Genomic DNA, 20,590 nt, shown 5'->3' on the forward strand with positions numbered 1-20,590 from the left:
ATGCCACTGCACTCCAGCCTCGGTGATAGAGTGAGACTCTGTCTCAAAAAAAAAAAAAAAAAAAAAAAAAAAAAAAAAAACTTGGAACTACAGTGATTGCTTTCTTGAAGTTCAGCCCTTCCGAGTTACATGCCCATGACAGAGGGTCAGGTTTAGATACTCTGCTCCTCAGGAAAGGAGACTTTCGCTTACACAGTACCCCTAAAGCAAGGGAGATATTTGAGACTCACACAGGTCCTCTGAATTGTGATTATATGTGTATAAATTATAACTTGTACACTAAAGTAAAATGTGCTTATCTCGTTTACTACAGTTCTAGTTTGTTCATTACATACCCATAAATATATATTGACTGAATATTACAAATTCAACATAAGTTGTAGAAAGATAACTAAACTATAAAAGACGTTGAAAATGTAAACACCAGGGAGACATGATGATCAAATTTTTCAAGTTCTGATTACTTCACTAAGCTATCAGAGAAATTCTTAAACATTATAAACTCAAATACTTCACACTTACATAATTTTTGGAGTTGAACAGCCAAGAGCCTCAAGTTTCCATAGAAGAACAGTAGAAGAAAGTAGGGGTTTATTTGCAATAGCTAACTACCATACTATGAAAGGCACATATTTCAACCTCTTTAAAGATTTATTGAACTGAGGCTCCCCCTACCTGGCATTACTTGAAATGATCTGACGCCATCTTGTGGTAACCTGAATATTCATGTTTTAATTCATGAAAATTTACCAAAACTCCCATGAGAAAAAGTTGAAAGAGGGAAGGCTTCTCAGAGGTCAATACCAGGAACACTTACCTGGGAAGACAGGAGGCAGATGGCCAGGTTTTTCTGGACACCTTTTCAAACACAATCCAGTATGACTGCAGAATTGATCAAGCTGAATCAGGATCACACCCATCAAAGACTTAACTGAGCAGCTACTGTGTTCACGCAGGGTGCTATCCTAGAGAAGCTGCCATGCGCATGATCTCATTCAGTCCTTCTCAAAGCGTGGAAACCTATCAAGTATTAATATACAGAGTATTTCTGCTATAAATATAATAGTGTAAAGCCCGCAGACAAGCAGGTTCACATGGGATTCTTCAATCCCCATTTCATACTAGAGACTCTCATGAAAGCAATGTGATCTGAAGACCCAGATATCTGCCAAAAGCCCTTGTCTTTCTTGATCCTGGCTTAGCTGATCACAAACTGCAGTGTGCAAGAGAACGATCCCACAGGCTGCATACATATGCCATGTATGCTATACTACTTTATGGATGATTTAAGGGATTTTTAAAGGTATATTTGACTTCATTTTGCATTTCCTTATAATTTTTAATTTCTTCACAGAACGTGTAAACTAACTCCTTTTCCTTTCCCGAAGACATGAAACTACTACAAATACCACTGTATATATCATATGTATGTAACAGTCTAACAAGGGTAAAATGTAGACGTGCCTAAAGCTGTTGTATCTGCTTGCTTTAGTTTTTACATATTAAAAGATAAGCCAAGAACTCCATAATATTGGGGGGGAATATGCATTAAAGCAAACACATATATATAAAAAGTTAGAGGCAAGAAACTGAATCCATCTAATTACAGAATATTCAATATGTTTCTGGGAGAAGCTTCATGAAGATATAACATTTTGCATTCATATTTGCCGAGGGAAAAAAAAACCCATAAGCTTTCAGAAAGCCTACTCTTAAAAGAGTTATTAAAATATGAACTTTCCAAAAAGCTCAAAAGCCAATGCCTTTTTTTAATAACATTTGCTTCCCCTCTCAGAAACAGTCAGTGACATCCAAAGGAGTCACTGTCTACCAATTTACAAATGAGGTTACCAGAGAGAGTACAAGGAAGCAGGTGACTGACAGATCTGTCTGAAGAGTCCTTCAAAGAAGGCAAAGAAGACCTACAGTAAGTCTGGTATATTAACATACCCGTGTTATAAGCATTAAGGGAATCTGTTATCTAGGCTGCTGCCAAACATGTACATGCAAAGAGATGGGGCTGCTGAAAAGAGATTTGGTGTTTAGCAGCAGAAAGAAATCACCATGAGCTATGCCAAATTCCTTTTATGAGCTCCACACCATAGTCTATCTCAGAAGAAAAGCAAAGTTGATTTTATACCAAGACGAAACGAGTTATAAATTAATCAAAATTTCAATGATCAAGGACAAAACGTACTTAAGTTGAAAAGTATTTGGAATGGCTGTTCATTGGTCTTTCAATAGGATGATGAAATAGAAAGAACAAAGGGCAACGAGCCAAGACATGCAGACTACAACGCTGCCATCTGTGAGGTCGGGGTGATGAACCACCAGGTGATCATCCAAGATCCTTCTGGCCAGGAAAAGCTATGGTTCCAAACAAAGGCCAACCAACAGCACATCAGCCTCTTTCTTTCAAAAATGACCCAATAATCAGCAACGGCATAGTGAAGGTTTTGAAAAGACAGTTTTTCATTGTAACACAGAGGAAAATCCTCTTATCACAACATCAAATGTATGCATAAACCCAGTGCAGCTAAAGATACACTACAAATAACTGCCCAGCACTCTTCAAAATCACCATGGTCCGGAAATGCAAGGAAAGACTGAGGAACCGTCCTACACTGCAGGACACTGGCAGCTAAATGCAATGTGGGGTCCTGAATTGGATGCTAGACTGGAAAAACGATACTAGTGGACAATTGACAAAATCTAAATAGGGTCTATAGGTTAGTTAATAGCATTGTATCAGTGTTAATTTCCTGGTTTTAAAAAGTATACTGTGGTTTGGGGAAGCTGGAAAAAAGTATGTGGGAATTCTTTGTTTCTGCAATATTGTTTTTGAAATGTTTTATAAGTCAAATTATTTATAAATGAAAAGAAATAAAAAACAAAATTAAAGACACGATGTTAGAAAACAGTGAATTTTAGAGCCCAAGAGATCTGAATTGGAATCCTATCTGTGAGAAGCTTGGACAAATCACTTTAATCTGCCCTAGTTTCTTCATCTGTAAAATGAGAATAAATACTTACCTCAAAGAGTTGTTATAAGAATTAAAGGAAACAATTTAATTACAGTATAATACCTAGCACTGTGCAAGTAGAAAATAAATGTAGCTGGTTTTGCTACTAACAAATGAATCAACACTTTTGAAGACTTAAAAAGTTTCAAGATTTTGGTTTTTATCTTGCAATTTACTGTGGTGTGGCATTAAATACATTGCTGGCATCTATCTGCAATCCAAAAATACTTACACAATGATTTTAAAATGATTAGAAGATAATATATCTGATTTTCCTAGACTAATAAAAAACTCAGAAGCTCGTGCTTTACCAGTTCGGAATTTGTGTAAGATACAAGGCCTCCCTGACACTTCACTCCACACTAGCATTAGGGAAAGGGCTGCACCAGAGAAGTAAGAGTGCTGGAGAGAATATTTACTTGTTTTTAAAAAGACAACTGTTTCTAAATAGTTTAAATGCTTTCATGGATTTATAATTAAAATATAAATCTTGCCCCATACTACAATGTAATGTCTGCCATATGCCCCCAAGAAAGCCTTTATCATGAAAATTAATATATCCTCCTCTGTCCCTTTTGACAGTGAACTCCTTGAAGACAGGTCCATGTACTTAGATAGTGAAAAAAATCTTTTTTTTTTTTTTTTTTTTTTTTGAGACTGGGTCTCACTTTGTCATCCACGCTGGAGTGCAGTGATGCAATTACAGCTCACTGCAACCTCTGCCTCCCGGCTCAAGCGATCCTCCTAACTCAGCCTCCCGAGTACCTGGGACTACAGGTGTGTGCCACCATGCCCCGGCTAATTTTGGGGGTTTTTTGTTTTTGTGTCTGTGTGGTTTGGGGTTTTGTTGTTGTTGGTGGTGGTGGTGGTGGTGGTGGTAGAGATGGGGTTTTTGCCCTGTTGCCCAGGCTGGTCTTGAACTCCTAGGCTCAAGTGATCAACCCAACTAGGCCTTGCAAAGTGCTTGGATTATAGGCATGAGCCACCATGCCTGGCCAATATCTTCTGTCTTTTATACACTGATTAAGCCACAATCTCCATTAGATAAGTTTCTAAGTATACTTTACAATTGTTCAAATGGCATTTAGAAAATATTCCTAATTCAAATGTGTACCTTTATTCATGCTCACTCTCTCCTTTATTACTCTAAGTTAGTAATGATTTCTGAGGCCACTTCTCTCAGCTTTTTATTTTCAGGTTCATGAAATAAATGCAACAAATTATTGTTGTTGTTATCATTATTCAACAAGTACTTTAAAGGAGCCTGCTGTGTGCTGAAATTAAGCTAGGTATATTACATATAACTGTAAGCATTATCCAATTTAATTTCTCCAACAACTCCAGAAGACAGTGATTATTATTCTCATTTTGCAGATGAGGAAATCGAGGCACAGAAAAATGAACTGACCTGTCCAAGCTCACAGGGCTAACAGCGCTCCATCCCTGTCTTCCCCACCCCATCCAATGTCAGAGCCCACATTCTGCACATCTGCACCATTCTCCTTTACATCATGCCTAATCTTCTAGTGGAACTGAGGACAGGAAGACAAAAGTGAAGAAAGACTAGTACAGCATGTGACAAAAGATAACATGTAAGTGTCAGATTTGCAAGGGAGAAAAGATAGGATCAGAAATGGAAACATTATTAATTACCCAATCAACTTTCTACTCTAAATGGAAATAGCCCTTCATAAATCCCCTTTATGAGCTTAAGAGTAAACATTCAAACCATTTTGTTCAGCACACCAGGCTCCCAGCCAAAATAAATAACACCCAGGGTCATTCTGTCAAAGCAAAGAAATTATCAATATTTTAATCTGTCCATTTTATTACAGTATCCAAAGTAAGGACATGTTTCTGAATCCCATACTGACTTCAATCTAAAATTGCACAGGGCTAATCCCCAAAAGAGTCAGTTCATTCATTCATTCAGCAAGGATTTGCTGAGTACCTACTATGTTCCAGGATCTCTTTGGGTAATTGGGATACATCAGAAACAAATGACAAAAATCACCACCTATGAAGGTGATATTCTATTCACTATGACTCCTTTGACCACAGCATAAAAAGAAAGTCAACCTTCTGAAGGTAAGAAAAATCTTTACTTCTCTGGCCTCATTTAGATATAAACAAGAAAATCCAGTCAATATAATAGCTCTCTGGATCCTTTTTAATGAGTTTAAATTTCAGGCAGATGAAATTTAAGAAGTTCTCTGAATCCAGCTCATGAAAGGCAAGCCCATTAAAAAGGTCTAAGTGAGATTCCAGAGAAGACCCACTTTCTACACTGCTACATTCATCTATGCAACTTTGTGTTCTCTTTGTAGATGATTTTAAGTAAAAGGAAGGAAACAGTGGTAAGTGATAAGAGCTAGAAAGCTAAGAATCACACAAAGAAAGAAACCAAAATACACTGTCAAGTGCATTGACACTATAGTTCTTGGAAAGTACATACAGTTCAGCATCCAATGAATAAACTATTTTGGGTTTCATAACATTCCTCCATGAAGAGTTTATTGAGAAATATTGTATTTTAGGAACAAAGAGTATCATATTGTTTGTTTTCACAGTGTCACTTAGCTTTGAAAGCATGCAGCTAATATTTTGCCTGTGGTATTCAACAGGCAGATGTAAGAAGAGCAAACATTCTTCAGGTTTTAAAAACCGTAGTATATTATAACTTGGAAGGCAACTCCTAACAAACCAAAAGCCATAGATCAGTAGATCTGATTTAAAATAGAACTTCCTCAGTGCTAAAGCAGCTTCAAACATACCATTGTGCAAAATCAGATTAAATGCTTCCCAGTGATCCTCATATGATTGTCGCTTCTGCCAAGTGCTTTCCTTTGAAAAAAAAATCATAAAGACTGAAAGAAAAATAAAAGTGTATTTTGCCAAAAAGATAATTCTTACTACCTTAGGCTTATAAAAAAGCTTATGCTTTTCAAACTGTTAACACATGTGACATCCTCACAACAACCCTGGAAGGTAGGTGGGGTAGGTGGCATTACCATTTTCACAGAGGAGAAACTAGGGCTTACACAGTTGTGATGCTGCTGACTGCACAAGGGCTCCTGGTCAAGTGGGCCTGTGGGCACAGGACTGCATCCACCTAAAGGAAGGAGTAACTTTTTCTAATTTGCATAAATAGTCTCATTTGCTTTCCCCTAGCCCTATGAACTGTGAGCTTATGGAGTGGACCCCTAAAAGATGCCTTTTCTAATTTGCACAAGGACACAGTATAGGATGGTGAAAATTGTTTCCCATGGCCACCCAACCTAACAGTGAAAGCATAATGATCAAGATCCAGGTCTACTGACTACCAGTTCATGGCTTTGAATAACATAAGGGGAAAATTCACCCAGCAAATGGGTTTACTGACATCTTAGAAATAGTCACATAGTTCCTCCCAAGGAATCTCTGAAGGATTCCTTTATGAATGAATAGAAAGAAAGGAAGTACAGTGACATGCATGATGTTAACACTGTCCCATCACTAGACCTTTAGTCTCCAAATGTTTGTCTCTCATTTCCCCAGTTCTGCCTTCCATTTCCCAGTTCTGACATCCCCAGTTCTGTTTCCCAGTTCTGCCCTTCCCAGTTCTGCCTTTTCATAGTACTTATTCACTATGTACCAGGTACTTTGCTAAATATTTTATAAGAATTACAACAGGTTCTAACTGAATACAGCTACATAAGTGACCTCAGCTATACCACACAGCACACAAAAATCAACCACATGAGTTTAGTCAACTCACAGAATTGTGAAAATTAAAAGCCTGTCATTGGTTTAAGTCGCTACGTTTTGGAGTGGTTTGTTACATACCAATAGATAACTTAAACATTCTGTGTTCTCACCCTAACACACATCAAAGTTATATCTTTATATCAGGGTCAACAGGTCCACTTAGCTGAGCAAACCCTGAGAGAAGACTGTGAACAAAAGAAAACACATTGAGCACAGCCAAGTTTTTTGGGTTTTTTTGTTTGTTTTTGTTTTTGAGATGAAGTCTTGCTCTGTCACCCAGGCTGGAGTGCAATGGCATGATCTCAGCTCACTGCAACCTCCATCTCTTGGGTTCAAGTGATTCTCATCTTAGCCTCCCGAGTAGCTGGGATTACAGGCATAGGGCACCACACCTGGCTAATTTTTTGTATTTTTGGTAGAGATGGTATTTCACCATGTTAGCCAGGCTGGTCTTGAACTCCTGACCTCAAGTGATCCGCCCGCCTCGGCCTCCCAAAGTGCTGGGATTACAGGAGTGAGCTGCCGTGCCCAGCCGGCAAAGTTGATTCTGAAACCCTGTATTACCTCAATAATCGTTGAAGTGCCTATTATATGCAATGCAGCACAGCCGGGTGGCTAAGGCTGTGAGTTTCGGATCCATGTGTTAAAATCCTGGCTGTCCTACCTGCTAGCTGTGGGAACTTGAGGAAGGCACTTGGACTTCTCTGGTCCTCAGTTTCTCTATATTGTAAAATGGAAATTAATCATAACTACTTCCTGAGGGTGCTGGCAGCAGTAAACATGATAAAGTATGGAAAGCACACATGAGCGCACATACACACACCACACCACACCACACACACCACACCACACACCACACACCCAGCCTTCCTAGGAAACTTCTATTCATGCTTCAGCCATCATTTCACCAGTGCCACTTCTTCAGGAAAGCCTTTCCTAAAGATCACCCTCTCTGACTTCAGCAGGCCTCCCTGCTATATTCAAGCACCATGTATTTTCCTTTCATAAGTACACATCATCAATTTGAATTTTGTGTTCATTTGCGCATCATTTATTTATGTTAATCTCCCCACTACACACCATCAGTTCCATGAGAACAGGGTCTGCGGTGACCTCCCACATTTTTCTAGCACTTAACACAAAGCTTGGCACACAGAAGATAAGTATTCAACAAAAGAAAAGCATTTACCAAAAGCTGACAATGCGCCAGGACCTCCGTAAATAAGAGTTTGGCATTGTGTTATGTGCTTCTGCAGGAGTGAGTCTCACCTTTAAAAACCTTAGAGTCTAACGGGAAACACAACACATACAGAAGTCACCATCTGACACTGCAGACGGTCAGCAACGCCTAGACAGAGTGCCCTGTGAGTTCTGAGAAGGTGGAGATCAACTGACTCTTGATGATGACAATCCAAAAAGACTTTACAAAGGAGCAGTGGCTTAAGGGTACCCAGACTCCAAAGTGCCAGTTCTAACAAAAAAATTGGGTGTTGGCTGTTACTTTTTGGGCCCAGAAGCCTGGCCTAAGGCAAAGTCTACAACAGGTCTGTAAATCATTCTTTCATTCATTTATTCATTGCTCAGGTTTTTATTAAATACCTAGTAGGTGCTAGGCACTAGTCTAGATACTGAAAATCAACGAACATATCAGCAAGCTGACATTCCTTCTAAAGAGGCCCCCTATAGCAACAAAGTGTTAACCAGTGTCCTCCTCACTCCTCTGTGACCAGGGCCACCGTGTCACCTCCTCTAACGGAGGCTACACCTTATCGTTTAACAAATGACCTTCATCTTCCCAGCATCTCCCTTAGTTTGGCTTCCGGGTTGCATATGGAGTTCAATGTCCCGTGGCTGCTAACCAAGGCAAATTGCAACTGTTGCAAATTTTGCTTATGAAAACCGAAGGGGACCTTCAAAGATCATCTGGTACAACCCCTTCATCTTATAGATGTGGAAACTAAGGCCTAGAGAAAAGACCCTCAGCCAAGGTCACCCAGAGAACTAACCACGCATAGAACCAGATCAGAGTCCAGGAGTCCTGCCTCCCAGGCCTGGGCGCTTTCGATTTTTCAAAGACATTTCCCATTTTCCTATTATCAGGACCCACAATCCTAGAAACAGTCTTTGGGATTCAGGGCTCCTCAGTATTGAGGAAGAGTTCATTATCTGTATTGAAATCGGTTGTAGTAATACAAACAACAATAACATTTTAGAGCCCTAACTAAACATCAGTAGCAGTGAGAAAAAGAAAAATAGCTCAGAGCAGATTGTGTGAGTTACAGTGAAATATGCAAAATCAATCAAGCCCAGAGAGACAAGAGTATAGGACTTTAGTGGTCCCCTCCTCACCCAACCCATTCCTGGGAGCAACTGGTTAAAGGCATTTTGTTCCTGACCAGCTGCCTTACCCATTATCTTCAAGTTCCTGGAATTTGTGATACAAAGAACAATGTACAGACAATCAATAGTTTATGTTATTTTAATATAAATTCTTGGTAAACAACTTAGGAAGTGCTTCTTATTCTCCTTTAAAAACCCACTTTCGACTTCTGCTCATCAGAATGTATACTCAGGGCACCTTCACTCCCAGGATGCAGCCCTCAAACTTGGCTCGAATGAACTCTCTTTTTATATTGATTTTGCCTCAGTTTCTTCATTTAGGTCACAACTGTGCTAAGCACTTTACACAAGTTACCTCATTTGGATCCTCACAACAACTCTATGAGTCGGTACTATTATTTTCCCCATTTTACAGATTAGCAAACTAAGGCACAAAGAGAGTAAGCAACCTGCACGATGTCCCACAGCTGTTTAATAAGGAGCAGCGGATGGGGCAGCAGAACCATCATGCTGAGTAAACCAGGATGACTGCCCAATGGCCTCCCCTCGCTTTTAAGGGGTCAGTGATGAACCGGAAAGCTCCACACGTCGGTCATCTGCAACTCCACGGAGCTCACGAGCTGGGATTCCCGGAGGCTCTTCCTAAAAGGAAAGCCTCTTCTTTCAGCTGGGGCAGGTGTGAACGTGATGCCAAGCACGGCCCCTTTTCCCGCTCCCTGTAAAGGGAGTCTTCGAGGAAATCCCTCTCGACCCACACATCCCTGAAGCAAAGCCCGCAGCTGGAAAGAGACACTGGCGGTGCCAGCTTCCGCGTGGATGAAGGAGAGGAGAGAGGGGCAAGCAGCGGAGGCAGCGCGGGATACGGAAGGTGGAAGCGGGGCGGTACCTTTCGGAGAAAGCTGGCGACCACCTGCTCGAAGGGGTACTTGTACACCTGGTGCACATCCACCGAGACCCCCATCCCCGCGCGCCGCGGGCCCCGCGCACCGGCCACGCCTCCGCGAGCTCAGAGCTGCCCAGGGCTCCGCAGAGGCCCGGAGGCGCCCACACTCGGACAGCCACATGGGCGTGGCCTTTTTCCTCCGCTTTTCAAACTTTCGAAACTTTATTGGCCACTCGGAGAAACGCGCAGTCGGCCACGCCCACGCCCCTACTGCCAGAGTCCGGGGCCTGGGGTTACAGAGCGCGGGAGGCGCTGGAGCGCTCCCAGAGCACCCGGGGCCCCGCGGTCTCCACGCTGGCGGCGCCAGAGCGGCCCTGGTGCCCTCCCGCGGCCGCGCCTGCCGAGAAAAGCTTCTCTGCCTGGGAGCCATCACGCCCCGCCCCAGGAAACCTGGACCTTGGGCTTATGCGTTTATGGTATCACCGCCTGGAGTCACAGAATAAGCCGTGGTTGGCAGCACGGGAAAAAAGTATTAATAAGGAAGGCCTGGTGTGACAAAGGCCAGCATTACTCATGCCACCAGGCAGCTGCCTCTGAGGCTTGGGTTTGGGCCTCGTGTAAGGTAAAGATTGCCTCGGGAATAAGAACCGCGTTTTAGTGCACCAAAACCTGCAGGTAAGTTCCTTTGCTCGCTAAGGTTAAACACCACGGAGCAAGGAACTAGAGGATACAAAAGAGTTGCGAGTATTATTATTTACTGCAACCAACAGATGTTAGGAGAACCAGCACGTTAATCCGTGTATTCAGCACGGTTCTGAGGCCTCCTATGCCCCAGCGCTGTAGTGGGCACTGCGGATTCCGCAGGGAGGAAACACCAGCTCTGCTGATGAGCCGGCTGATTTCACACCCAATCAACAAGCTGGGAAAATAAAAACAATAATCGGTTAAAGTGACACGGGCGCGGACATGATTTTAGTGAGGGTGATTATGGAGGGTCTCTGAGGTGATGACTTTTACGATTTTGCCATCTCGCTCGCCCCTGCCATACGCAGTCACACTGGTCTGGCAAAACCCTAGCCTTGTGTAAATCTAGGTCTCCTCTGACTGTCTCTACCCAAGCCACCAGAAGGGGCTGAAGGAAAATACACACCCACTGTGCATCTTTTAAGTTCATAACCACTAACCCTATGGCGCCTTTTAATGGTGCCAGACAAATACACTATGAAAGTACTGTATTTCTGGCTGGGTGCGGTGACTCACGCCTGTAATCCCAGCACTTTGGGAGGCCAAGGTGGGCGGATCGCCTGAGGTCCGGAGTTCCAGACCAGCCTGGCCAACATGGTGAAACCCTGTCCCTACTAAAAATACAAAAATTAGCCAGGCGTGATGGCGGGCGCCTGTAGTCCCAGCTACTCCGGAGGCTGAGGCAGGAGAATCGCTTGAACCCGGGAGACGGAGGTTGCAGTGAGCAGAGCTCGCCCATTGCACTCCAGCCTAGGCGACAAGAGCAAGACTCCATCTCAAAAAAAAAAAAAAAAGAGAGTACTGAATTTCTCTAATCCACTTACTCTCCCGCATTCCTCCACACCTCTGACACCTTTGTTCCCAGCCTTATACTCCAGTCATTACCTTACTTCCATTTTCACTTAGTCAATAGGTCACATCGCTCTGCCACCTCTCTACCCACCAGACCAAATGCCTTGCCTTCACTCTTGTTCCTGTGGGTGAACTGTCAGCACTTTGTTTTAGCACCAGTGTCTCCATTTGTCCACTGAATCCTGAGGTGAACTGAAAAATGTTTAACAAATAGCTGTCCTTTAAAGTATAAATCAAGCAAGGCCCTGATTTCCAAAGGTTGCTGATTCCTGTGGTGTAAATACTCCTACCATGTTTAAAGATGCCAACTCGATGTCACTAAACACAAGTTGGGGATTTAGCAACATGGAGTTGAGTGAGGAGTGGGAGTTGGGGAGGGAAGCACAGAAGCACACCATCACATAGTATTTCCACCACCCACATACGACAGCCATAAAGAACCAAAAACATAAATAATGGAAAATGTAGCAGGAAGGGATGAGTTTTCAATGTTTATTACTCTTTGGCCAGGCTCCTATGGTTCATGCCTGTAACCTCAGCACTTTGGGAGGCCAAGGCAGAAGGATCACTTGAGGCCAAGAGTTTGAGGCCAGTGTAGGCAACATAGTGAAACCCCATCTCTACAAAAAATAAAATAAAAAATTAGCCAGGTGTGGCAGTGCACACCTGTAGTCCTAGCTACTTGAGAGGCTAAGGCCAGAGGCTCTATTAAATCCGGAAGTTCAAGGCTGTAGTGAACTATGATCGTGCCATGCACTCCAGCCTGGGCCACAGAGTGAGACCCATCTCAAATAAATAAATATTTATTAATTTTTATATGTGATTGTAAATTTATATACTTTAATAATAGCTGTGTTGAATGGCCAGCTCTAGTACATCACTAAAAGTTCCTGTCCTCTTTCTTGTTCAAGGCCATCTCTCTAGCAATATCCCCCTTCCTTTCTGTATCATCAGCTTTTGTCTCTACTGGGCCATTCCAGCCAGCACAACAAGTACACTGTAATTTCTTCCATCTAAAAACAAAAACAGAAACAATACAAAAAAAACAACTCTTAACCCCCTATCTTCCTCCAGCTGTATTCCGAGTCTCTGGTCCACTGATGCTCCTCAAAAGAGCTGCCTGTAATCTCTTGAGCCCATTCCAATCAGTATTTGCCCCCACCACTTCACCGAAACGACTGTTGTCAAGGTCACCAATGACCAAATTGCTAAATCCAATAATTAATTCTTAATCCCCACCTTACTAAGCCTGTAAGCAGCATTTCCTTGAAATACAGAGGGAGGAGTGGAGAGGAGAATGAGATGCAAATGCTCTTACATGTGTTGGATGCATGTTTAAAAGCCACTCCACTATATCACCAATCCCTCCTTACAGGAAAACAAAAAGCAGTCTTCCAGGGAGACTACACAGGTCCACAAAGGAGAGATCAATTACCTGCAGAGTTTATGGTATTTTGTATCTGCCTCTTTTACCAGAGTAGCTGGAGACCAGATGTGACATACAAACCCCCTGCTAGCGTAGGTCCTGGGCCCTGTATCCTCAATCCACTCTGACCATCAGTTTCTCCCAGAGTGTATCTTTAAGCAGGACTTAATCTCCGGATTAAGTAACCATGAAAGGCCAATGGTGTGTCCTGAAAGATTAAAGGCCCCACCACCTGCAACCTCTACTTGGGGCTGGTTGGCTGAGTGACTTGTGTAAGAACAAATGTGACCTGCCCATTCCAAGGACGTTGGGGCTTTCTGAAACGTGTGCCAGACTTGACAACATGAGCCTATTATCTTGTAGCTCTGAATCACAGCCAGTTTGCACAACAGTAATCTTACTTGCTGGGTCCTCTGAGGGAGCGAGAAGAAACTGTGAAACAAATTTCCATCGCTTTGAAATTGGTTGGCTTAACTGGGCAGGGACTTGAGGGTGGAAATTTGCTGGCAAACCTTAGAAGTTCATGACCTTATTTGGTCTTTAAGATACCAAATATCTTACTAAAGAACTTTCATAAGATATCAAATACCTTTTGTATCTTCACAGGGAGGCACAATAGTTTAAACATGGTAGACATCCAATACATTTAGGTTGAATGAATGAATGAATGAATGATTGTAAATGCTGCAAGATTTAAGTGACACAGAACTCCAGCCCTGACCCTGTCTCTCTGCTTTTCTCACCTTCTTCATGTTGGTTCAATTCCCTCTTCTGACCATCCTGACCATCTCTCTATCACTGATTTTTTGTATCCAGTCTTATAATTATCTGTATATATAAATCACTGTTACTGTGACATTCTCAAGACTGGAGGAACTGCATATATTATTCACTCCTCTCTATCCAGTGCCTAGTAAAATGCTTGGCACCTAGTATATGTTGAATAAACTCACGAATGTACTTAATATAAAATATGACCTTGAACAAAATCCTTCCTGCCCCTGCAGCTCAGTTTTTCCGTCAACAAAAACTGAAATGCAGGGGCAGAAACTGAGTGGGCCAAGACTGTCTCTAAAATCCAGCAACCTGACATTTGAGATGTGAGCTAGAGACACAAGCCAAGGCAGGGAACAGGGATATAGTTATTGAAACCAGGGTACAGAATGAGAATTTGCAAGGAAAACAAAGCAAAGTATCAGAATAGATTCAAATATGTAAAATATCATGTATGATAAGTAAGCGTGGGTACTAAGGAGACAAAAACTGGAGAAGAAGGATGAGAAGTGATGGCAGGGCAGGGGAGAGAGGAGCAGTGTTAAAATTTTTTAAAAGAGCTAAGGAAGACCTCTCTGAGAAAATGACATTAAAGTAGAAAAGTTGCAAGAAGAGGAGGGCAAGTCATGCTCGTATTTGGAGGAGGATCATTCCACGTAGAAGGAATGGCAGGTTCCAAGACCTGAAACAGGCATTCTCCTGATACATTTCAGAGCTACAAGGAGGCCAGTATGGCTGTTGCAGAGTTCCTGAGATATAAGGTCAGAAAACATGAATCTAGGTCACATAGGGTCCTCCAGGCCATGGTAAAGATGTTGGCTTTATCTGTATGAGATGGGAGGCCATTGAGAGTTTTGAGCAGAGGAGAGACATGATCTCAACTGTATATTTTAACAGAATCATTCTGGCTACTTACAGTTTGGAGAAGTGACTATGGGGAGGCAAAGCAAAGAAAGAGACCAATTAAGAGGTATGATATTTTACATATATATATGTAAAATTTCCTCCCCAACTCCCACTCCTCACTAAACTCCACTCCTCCACGTATAAATATAGATTCATGGTTCCTGGCTGATAACTCCCATAGCCCTTGCTACAGTCTTTTGCTATAGTATTGGGACACTTTAGGCCTCAGAAGCAGGCTTTTCTCTCTCCGACCTTCTTCTGACTTCCCTTCACCTGCCCAAGGCAGGACTCTAATCTTTCCTGGCTTTTCTGATTGATTTCTCATTCCAGAGAGTGTCCCACCCCATACCCTGCAGGAAGAAATGCTGCACAGGAAGGCCAAGAAGAATCTAGACAGGCGGGCCTTACTAGGTTTCCTGACTCAGTCTGTTAGTATTATATCATATCCTTTTTTGCCTAATCGTATTTCTACCTGGTTATCTTCAATCATGTCTATCCAATGGAGTCTTGCTAAGAGACCCAAAAGAACAGGGTTCAGAGAGCTCCCAGCTAGCCAAACATATGGAGATTCCTGGAGGATGGTGCATCCAGGGAGGGCATGGAAGCTCCATGCCTCTTCCCCTATACCTTGCCCTATGCATCTCTTCAGCTACATCCTTTGTACTATCCTTTATAATAAACTGGTAAATGGAAGTAAGTGTTTCCCTGAGTTCTATGAGCTGCTCTAGTAAATTAACTGAATCCAAAGAGAGGATCATGGGAAGCCCATCTTGAAGTGGGTCAGTCAGAAGTTCTGGAGGCCAAGACTTGCAACTAACATCTGAATGGGGGACGGTGGGGACAGCGGAGTGATCTTGTGGGACTGAGTCCTCAACTTGTGGGTTCTGAATTATCTCCAGGTAGTGTCAGAATTGAATTGGAGGACACCTGGCTGGTGTCCACTGCAGACCTGAGTGCTTGCTTGCTGTGTGGGGAGAAACCACACACACATTTGTATGTGTGCTGGCAAACCTTAGAATTTCATGACCTTATTTGGTCTTTAAGATAGCAAATATCTTACAAAGATATTTCATCATACATGAGGGCCAAAAATTGCAGTTGTGATGGTACTGCAGATAACATTATTAATAATATTATGTATTAGTTTATTTGACTCTCACCACAATTGCCATTACTGAAGGAGGGCAGAGGAACTCAGGAGTTTCATACTGACCTAGGCAACATGGTGAAACCTGGTCTCTACAAAAAATAGAACGTCTTCTGTGTTGATGATTTTTGTAATGTGAGAGCACAGGAAAAAAACATGATTTGAGCTTGTTCTCCCCTCAAGAGGTGATTGCCATAATCTAGATAAGAGGAAATGATGGCTGAGACCACAGTGGTATCAGTGGTGATCAGTTTTTAGGTTCTGGATCCCTTGTGAAGGTAGAGCTGGAAAGGTGTGCTGAAAGATCAGAAGTGGGAAGAAGAAGAGCCAAGGCCCAGTCTGGCCACCATCTAGAGAAAGCCTGTCTGACTGTAGAGGGAAATAAAGCCAGATGTGTTCATTTTCAAAGTGCCACAAATGGATGGCTTGAAAAACATAAATTTATTGTCTCACAGCTTTGGATTCCAGAAGTCATAAATCAAGGTGTTGTTGGCAAGATGGATTCCTTCTGAGGGTTCAGAGGGAGAATCTGTCCCATGCCTCTCCCCTAGCTTCTAATAGCCCCAGGCATTTCTTAGCTTGTGGATGGTCTTCTTGTGACTTCACATTGTCTTCTCTCTACACTTGTCTGTTTTTGTGTCCAAATTTTTATAAGAACTTTAGATTAAGAGCCACCCTAATGACCTCAACTGTTATACACAAAATTGTGTCCCTAAAATTTATATGTTGAAGTGCTAACACCCTGTACCTCAGGATGTGACTGTATTCAAAGACAGGAGCTTTGAAAGGGTAACTAGGTAACTAACGTAAAATGAGGTCATACTGCTGGGCCCTAATAACCCATATGATTGGTGCCCTTATCAGAAGAAGAGCTTAGGACACAAACATGCACAGAGGGAAGACCATGTGAAGAAAGAGAGAGACGAAGGCCACCAACAAGGCAAGGAGAAATCAATCCTGCTGATGCCTTCATCTCAGACTTCTGGGCTCCAGAACTGTGAGGAAATGAATATCTGTTATTTAAGCCAAACAGTCTGTGGTACTTTGTTATGGAAGTCCTAGCAAGCTAATACATCATTTTAACTTGATCATCTGATAAAACTTTCTTTCCAAATGAGACCACATTCATAGGCACTGAGGGTTAGGACTTCAACATCTTTTTGAAGGACACAATTTAACCAATAATATCAGACACAAGCAGAGACAAAAGATGAAGAGAGATTCTGGAGGCACTGGACCTCCAGTTCTGGTCCCTGAATCCCATGAATTGCCATGTTTCCTGCAGCTCCTTCTTGGATTATCTGAGCTTGGTCAGGATCCTTCCAGGCAATCTCCTTTTGTGCTTAGCTTAATTTGAGTTGAGTTTTCTAGCACTTTGAACTGAGACTCCTATCTAGTATGACGTGGAAGAAAAATTTAGCTGCTGTGAGTTCATGTGCCCAAAGAAAAAGAAGAGAAAAGGAAAGAAAAAAGATTCTTTATTGCCCACTCTTTTTCCATCTCCAAATCAGCCCAGCTCTTGAGATCTTTGAAAGTTGAGCTGCCTTTTACATTGATGTTTTCAACTCTCCATATTTACCCTCTTCACCTTGATTGTTTAGAAATCCAATAAGAATTTTATTCATCTTGTTTGTTTGGTAAAATTGCATCCTTTAAGGCCAATTCGCCTCACCATATGAGTACAAAAGGGGAAATTTTCTTTGTAATAGCAGGTAGCAATTAGTGGCATGCATTTTATTTTATCTTAATGGCATGCATTTTATTTCTTTTTTTTTAAATTTCACTGACTTGAAGCTCATAATGGCATGCATTTTAAAAGCATCTATTTAAGATGCTTCTTATCTGGGAAGACCAATTTTTAAAAAATGATCTCACAATAGACTGAAGGCCAAAAATTACAGAAGGGCAGTTGTGGTACTGCAGATAATAATAATAATAGTAATAATAAAATCAAAGGCATACAGAGAGAATTTCAGATGACATATAACTTAGAAAGTTAAGGGATAACACATTGAAACTCCAATGTGAGTAAGTTTAACAAGTCCTTTCCTTTCCTACATATTTTTCCAGTGGGGGAGGCCATGAGCAGATACTGAAGGGTTGGAATGGGTAGGAGAAGGGGAAAGGAGAGAAGGGGCAGGGAAGGCGGCAGCCATGAAGGGCCCCAGGGCAAAGGAAGAGTAAACTAACAGAAAAATAGCAAACTTAACAACTTTCCTTGGGCTAGTTATTACATTATTTTTCCAAAGGACTATCTGATTGATGAGATAAGCAGAAATGGTAATGTTATCAATCAGTGAAGTACAACCCAAGAATAATGACAGCTATCAAATGATAAATTATTCCCAAACCCAAGTGCTGTCTGAAGGGCTTTATATAGACACTCAATCTTTACAACAATCTGAAGAAGCAGGTATTTGTCTCAGATTGGGTTCCTTCGAAACAGACTATGAGACAAGGATTTATATACAGGGATGAGGATGGGGGTACTTTAGAGCGATACACCCCTGAGGAAGTGAAGAATGGAGTGTTGGACAACAAGACAATCTGCTCCAAAATTTGGTGCCAGTTGAGTCCTCAACCAATCCTATAGAAATCCCTGGAGCTGGGTGGCCCCCAATGAGGTAAGGAGGCTGGGTGACAAGCCTCAGAAAGGAGCACAGCTTTGAGGAGGGTGGGGAGCACAGGCCCTAAAGAGGGGGCATTAGTGAAGCACTGCCACATTCATTACCATTATTATCCACAGTTCACAGATGAATAAACTGAAGCATGGAGGGGCTAATTAACTCATCCAAAGGGATAGACTCCCATTTCACTAAATTTTATTTGCAAAGATGTAAACTAATAGATTCAAAGTCAGTACATGAAAACTGGAATTATTTGAAACCACAACACACAAGAGTATCCAGATTAAAGACACTGATGTTTCCTTAAAAAAGAAAAGGCAGTCAGAAGAGGTGCTGGCCACTATGAAATAATGGGAAAATAACATTCAATAGGTAAACATGGATATTGGGGAAATTATACCTAGAAATAGAAGATTCAGGTAAGGACTTTCATTATTTTCCCATTGAAAAAAAAAATTATTTTCCTAAAATGGTCACATCAAGATTAATGAAGCCATTCTCATCTTAATCTGTTCCAGAATTAAAATAATAATAATAATAATAAAAGATTAACCAGGCGAGCTTGGTGGCTCACACCCATAATCCTAGCACTTTGGGAAACTGAGGAGGGCAGAGGAACTCGGGAGTTTCATACTGACCTAGGCAACATGGTGAAACCCGGTCTCTACAAAAAATAGAAAAATTAGCTAGATATAGTGGTGTGCACCTGTAGTCCCAGCTACTCAGGAGGTTGAAGTGGGAGGATCACCTGGGCCTGGAGAGGTCAAGGCTGCAGTGGCTGTGACTGTGCCACTGCACTCCAGCCTGGGCGACAGAGTGAGACCTTGTCTTAAAAAAAAAAAAAGATTGACCCATGCGGATGCGCCTTCAGAGCAGTAAAACAAGTAAGTGAATACATAAGATTAACCTCATTCATCGTTTGGAGCTTGAGATAAAACAAAATTTTTTAAAAAGATTTACCTCAAGCAACCGCCTGATTCCTGTCTTGGTCAGCTCACCAAACCAACTGTTCTTATCAATAAGAAAGTTGCTAACTGGTAATTGGTACAGTAGTAATGCCTCAGAATGAATAAAGTGGTTCCTGATTTTGCTTCAGCTTCCCAATATCCTGAATGGCTATTGTGTGTGATATTATGCATTGATTGTATGTACTTGGTTTTCCTGCATCTACTCCTAAGACATAGACCCTCTCTTAGAAGTGAGAAAAAACAGATGCTGAGCATGACAGTCGAAAGGTTAACTTCTGAGAAGTTACAACTTTCCTGTGTCAAATGCACCCTACCATTATCATCCTACCATGACCAGACATGACAAACTTGCTTTTCTTTACTATAGCTATTGCCATTGTGTTATATATGGTGACCAGGAGTCAGGCCAGCCTGTAGTTCTGCATGAAATAATATTACAGTGATGCTCTAAGAATCTCCCTGAGACAACTGCTTATTCAACTGTTAAAGGATAGGAGATCATTCTTAGTCCCCCTAAAATGCTAATTAGTCCATCAATAGCTGTTTCCCTAACCTCGGAGCTGGAATAAAGAGAAAGCTTAAATGCCAATTTTTCTGGGCACAAATCTTAAAAGATTCATTCATCTACTACAACATATGATACCAAGCAGCCAAAATGTGCCCCTTGACTTGGGAATGAATTACAAATATCACAGCTTATGATCAATCAACAAGGGGGACTCCAGAAGAAAAGGGCAATCCCAACTGCCCCTCCAGCACTCTTGGGACTAGATGGAGTCTACGGTCATGTTGCTGAGAGAGAGGGCACTTAAACAAGAAAAAAACTGGTAGTGCCAATTCCTAGGACAAATATTTCTGGGATTCAGAGACTTATGTAAGGTGGATAAATAATTCTTTGGTAGGTCTATTTACTCTCCACTCTTTCTGTAGTATTTATTAAGCATTTTCTGTACACTTGGCTCAGAACATGTTAGAACATAAAAGTAAGAGATCATTCTCCCCTCAAAGAGTAGACTGGGAATTGTTGATTATCTGGTCACCATTCATTCTGCCTTCAAGTTTTTATCGTAGCCCTAATAAGCACTAGCACAGGGACCTGAAAGGAGGTTGACTCACTCCCAGTTTCCAAAGTGGGCCTGATTGATCCAAGGAT

The 20,590-nt window shown here is 41.8% G+C and overlaps 1 protein-coding gene across 17 annotated transcripts in view, besides 1 other annotated feature; it reads right to left on the minus strand.

The window, feature by feature from the left end:
- The window catches only part of PRELID2 (PRELI domain containing 2), a 606,358-nt gene extending 596,196 nt beyond the window's left edge, over nucleotides 1-10,162 (minus strand). For 16 of the 17 annotated variants that reach the window (XR_007058586.1, XM_047416830.1, XM_047416832.1 and 13 more), the window contains exon 1: nucleotides 9,997-10,162. Coding sequence is in view for 15 of the 17 variants with exons in the window: in XM_047416830.1 (XP_047272786.1) it covers nucleotides 9,997-10,071 (75 nt within the window). In the remaining 2 variants the exon portion in view is untranslated. Of the gene's footprint in view, nucleotides 1-817; nucleotides 1,021-9,996 lie in introns of all 17 variants that reach the window. The other variant, NM_138492.6, reaches the window with a different exon arrangement.
- Nucleotides 10,354-10,473: a silencer, noted in NCBI's record as "silent region_16487". NCBI's record gives its function as "represses an Ori minimal core promoter by ATAC-STARR-seq in GM12878 lymphoblastoid cells {active_cell/tissue: GM12878}" and the evidence as "EXISTENCE:reporter gene assay evidence [ECO:0000049][PMID:35858748]".

This window comes from Homo sapiens, chromosome 5, assembly GCF_000001405.40.
Source record: "Homo sapiens chromosome 5, GRCh38.p14 Primary Assembly".
Lineage (NCBI taxonomy): Eukaryota > Metazoa > Chordata > Mammalia > Primates > Hominidae > Homo > Homo sapiens.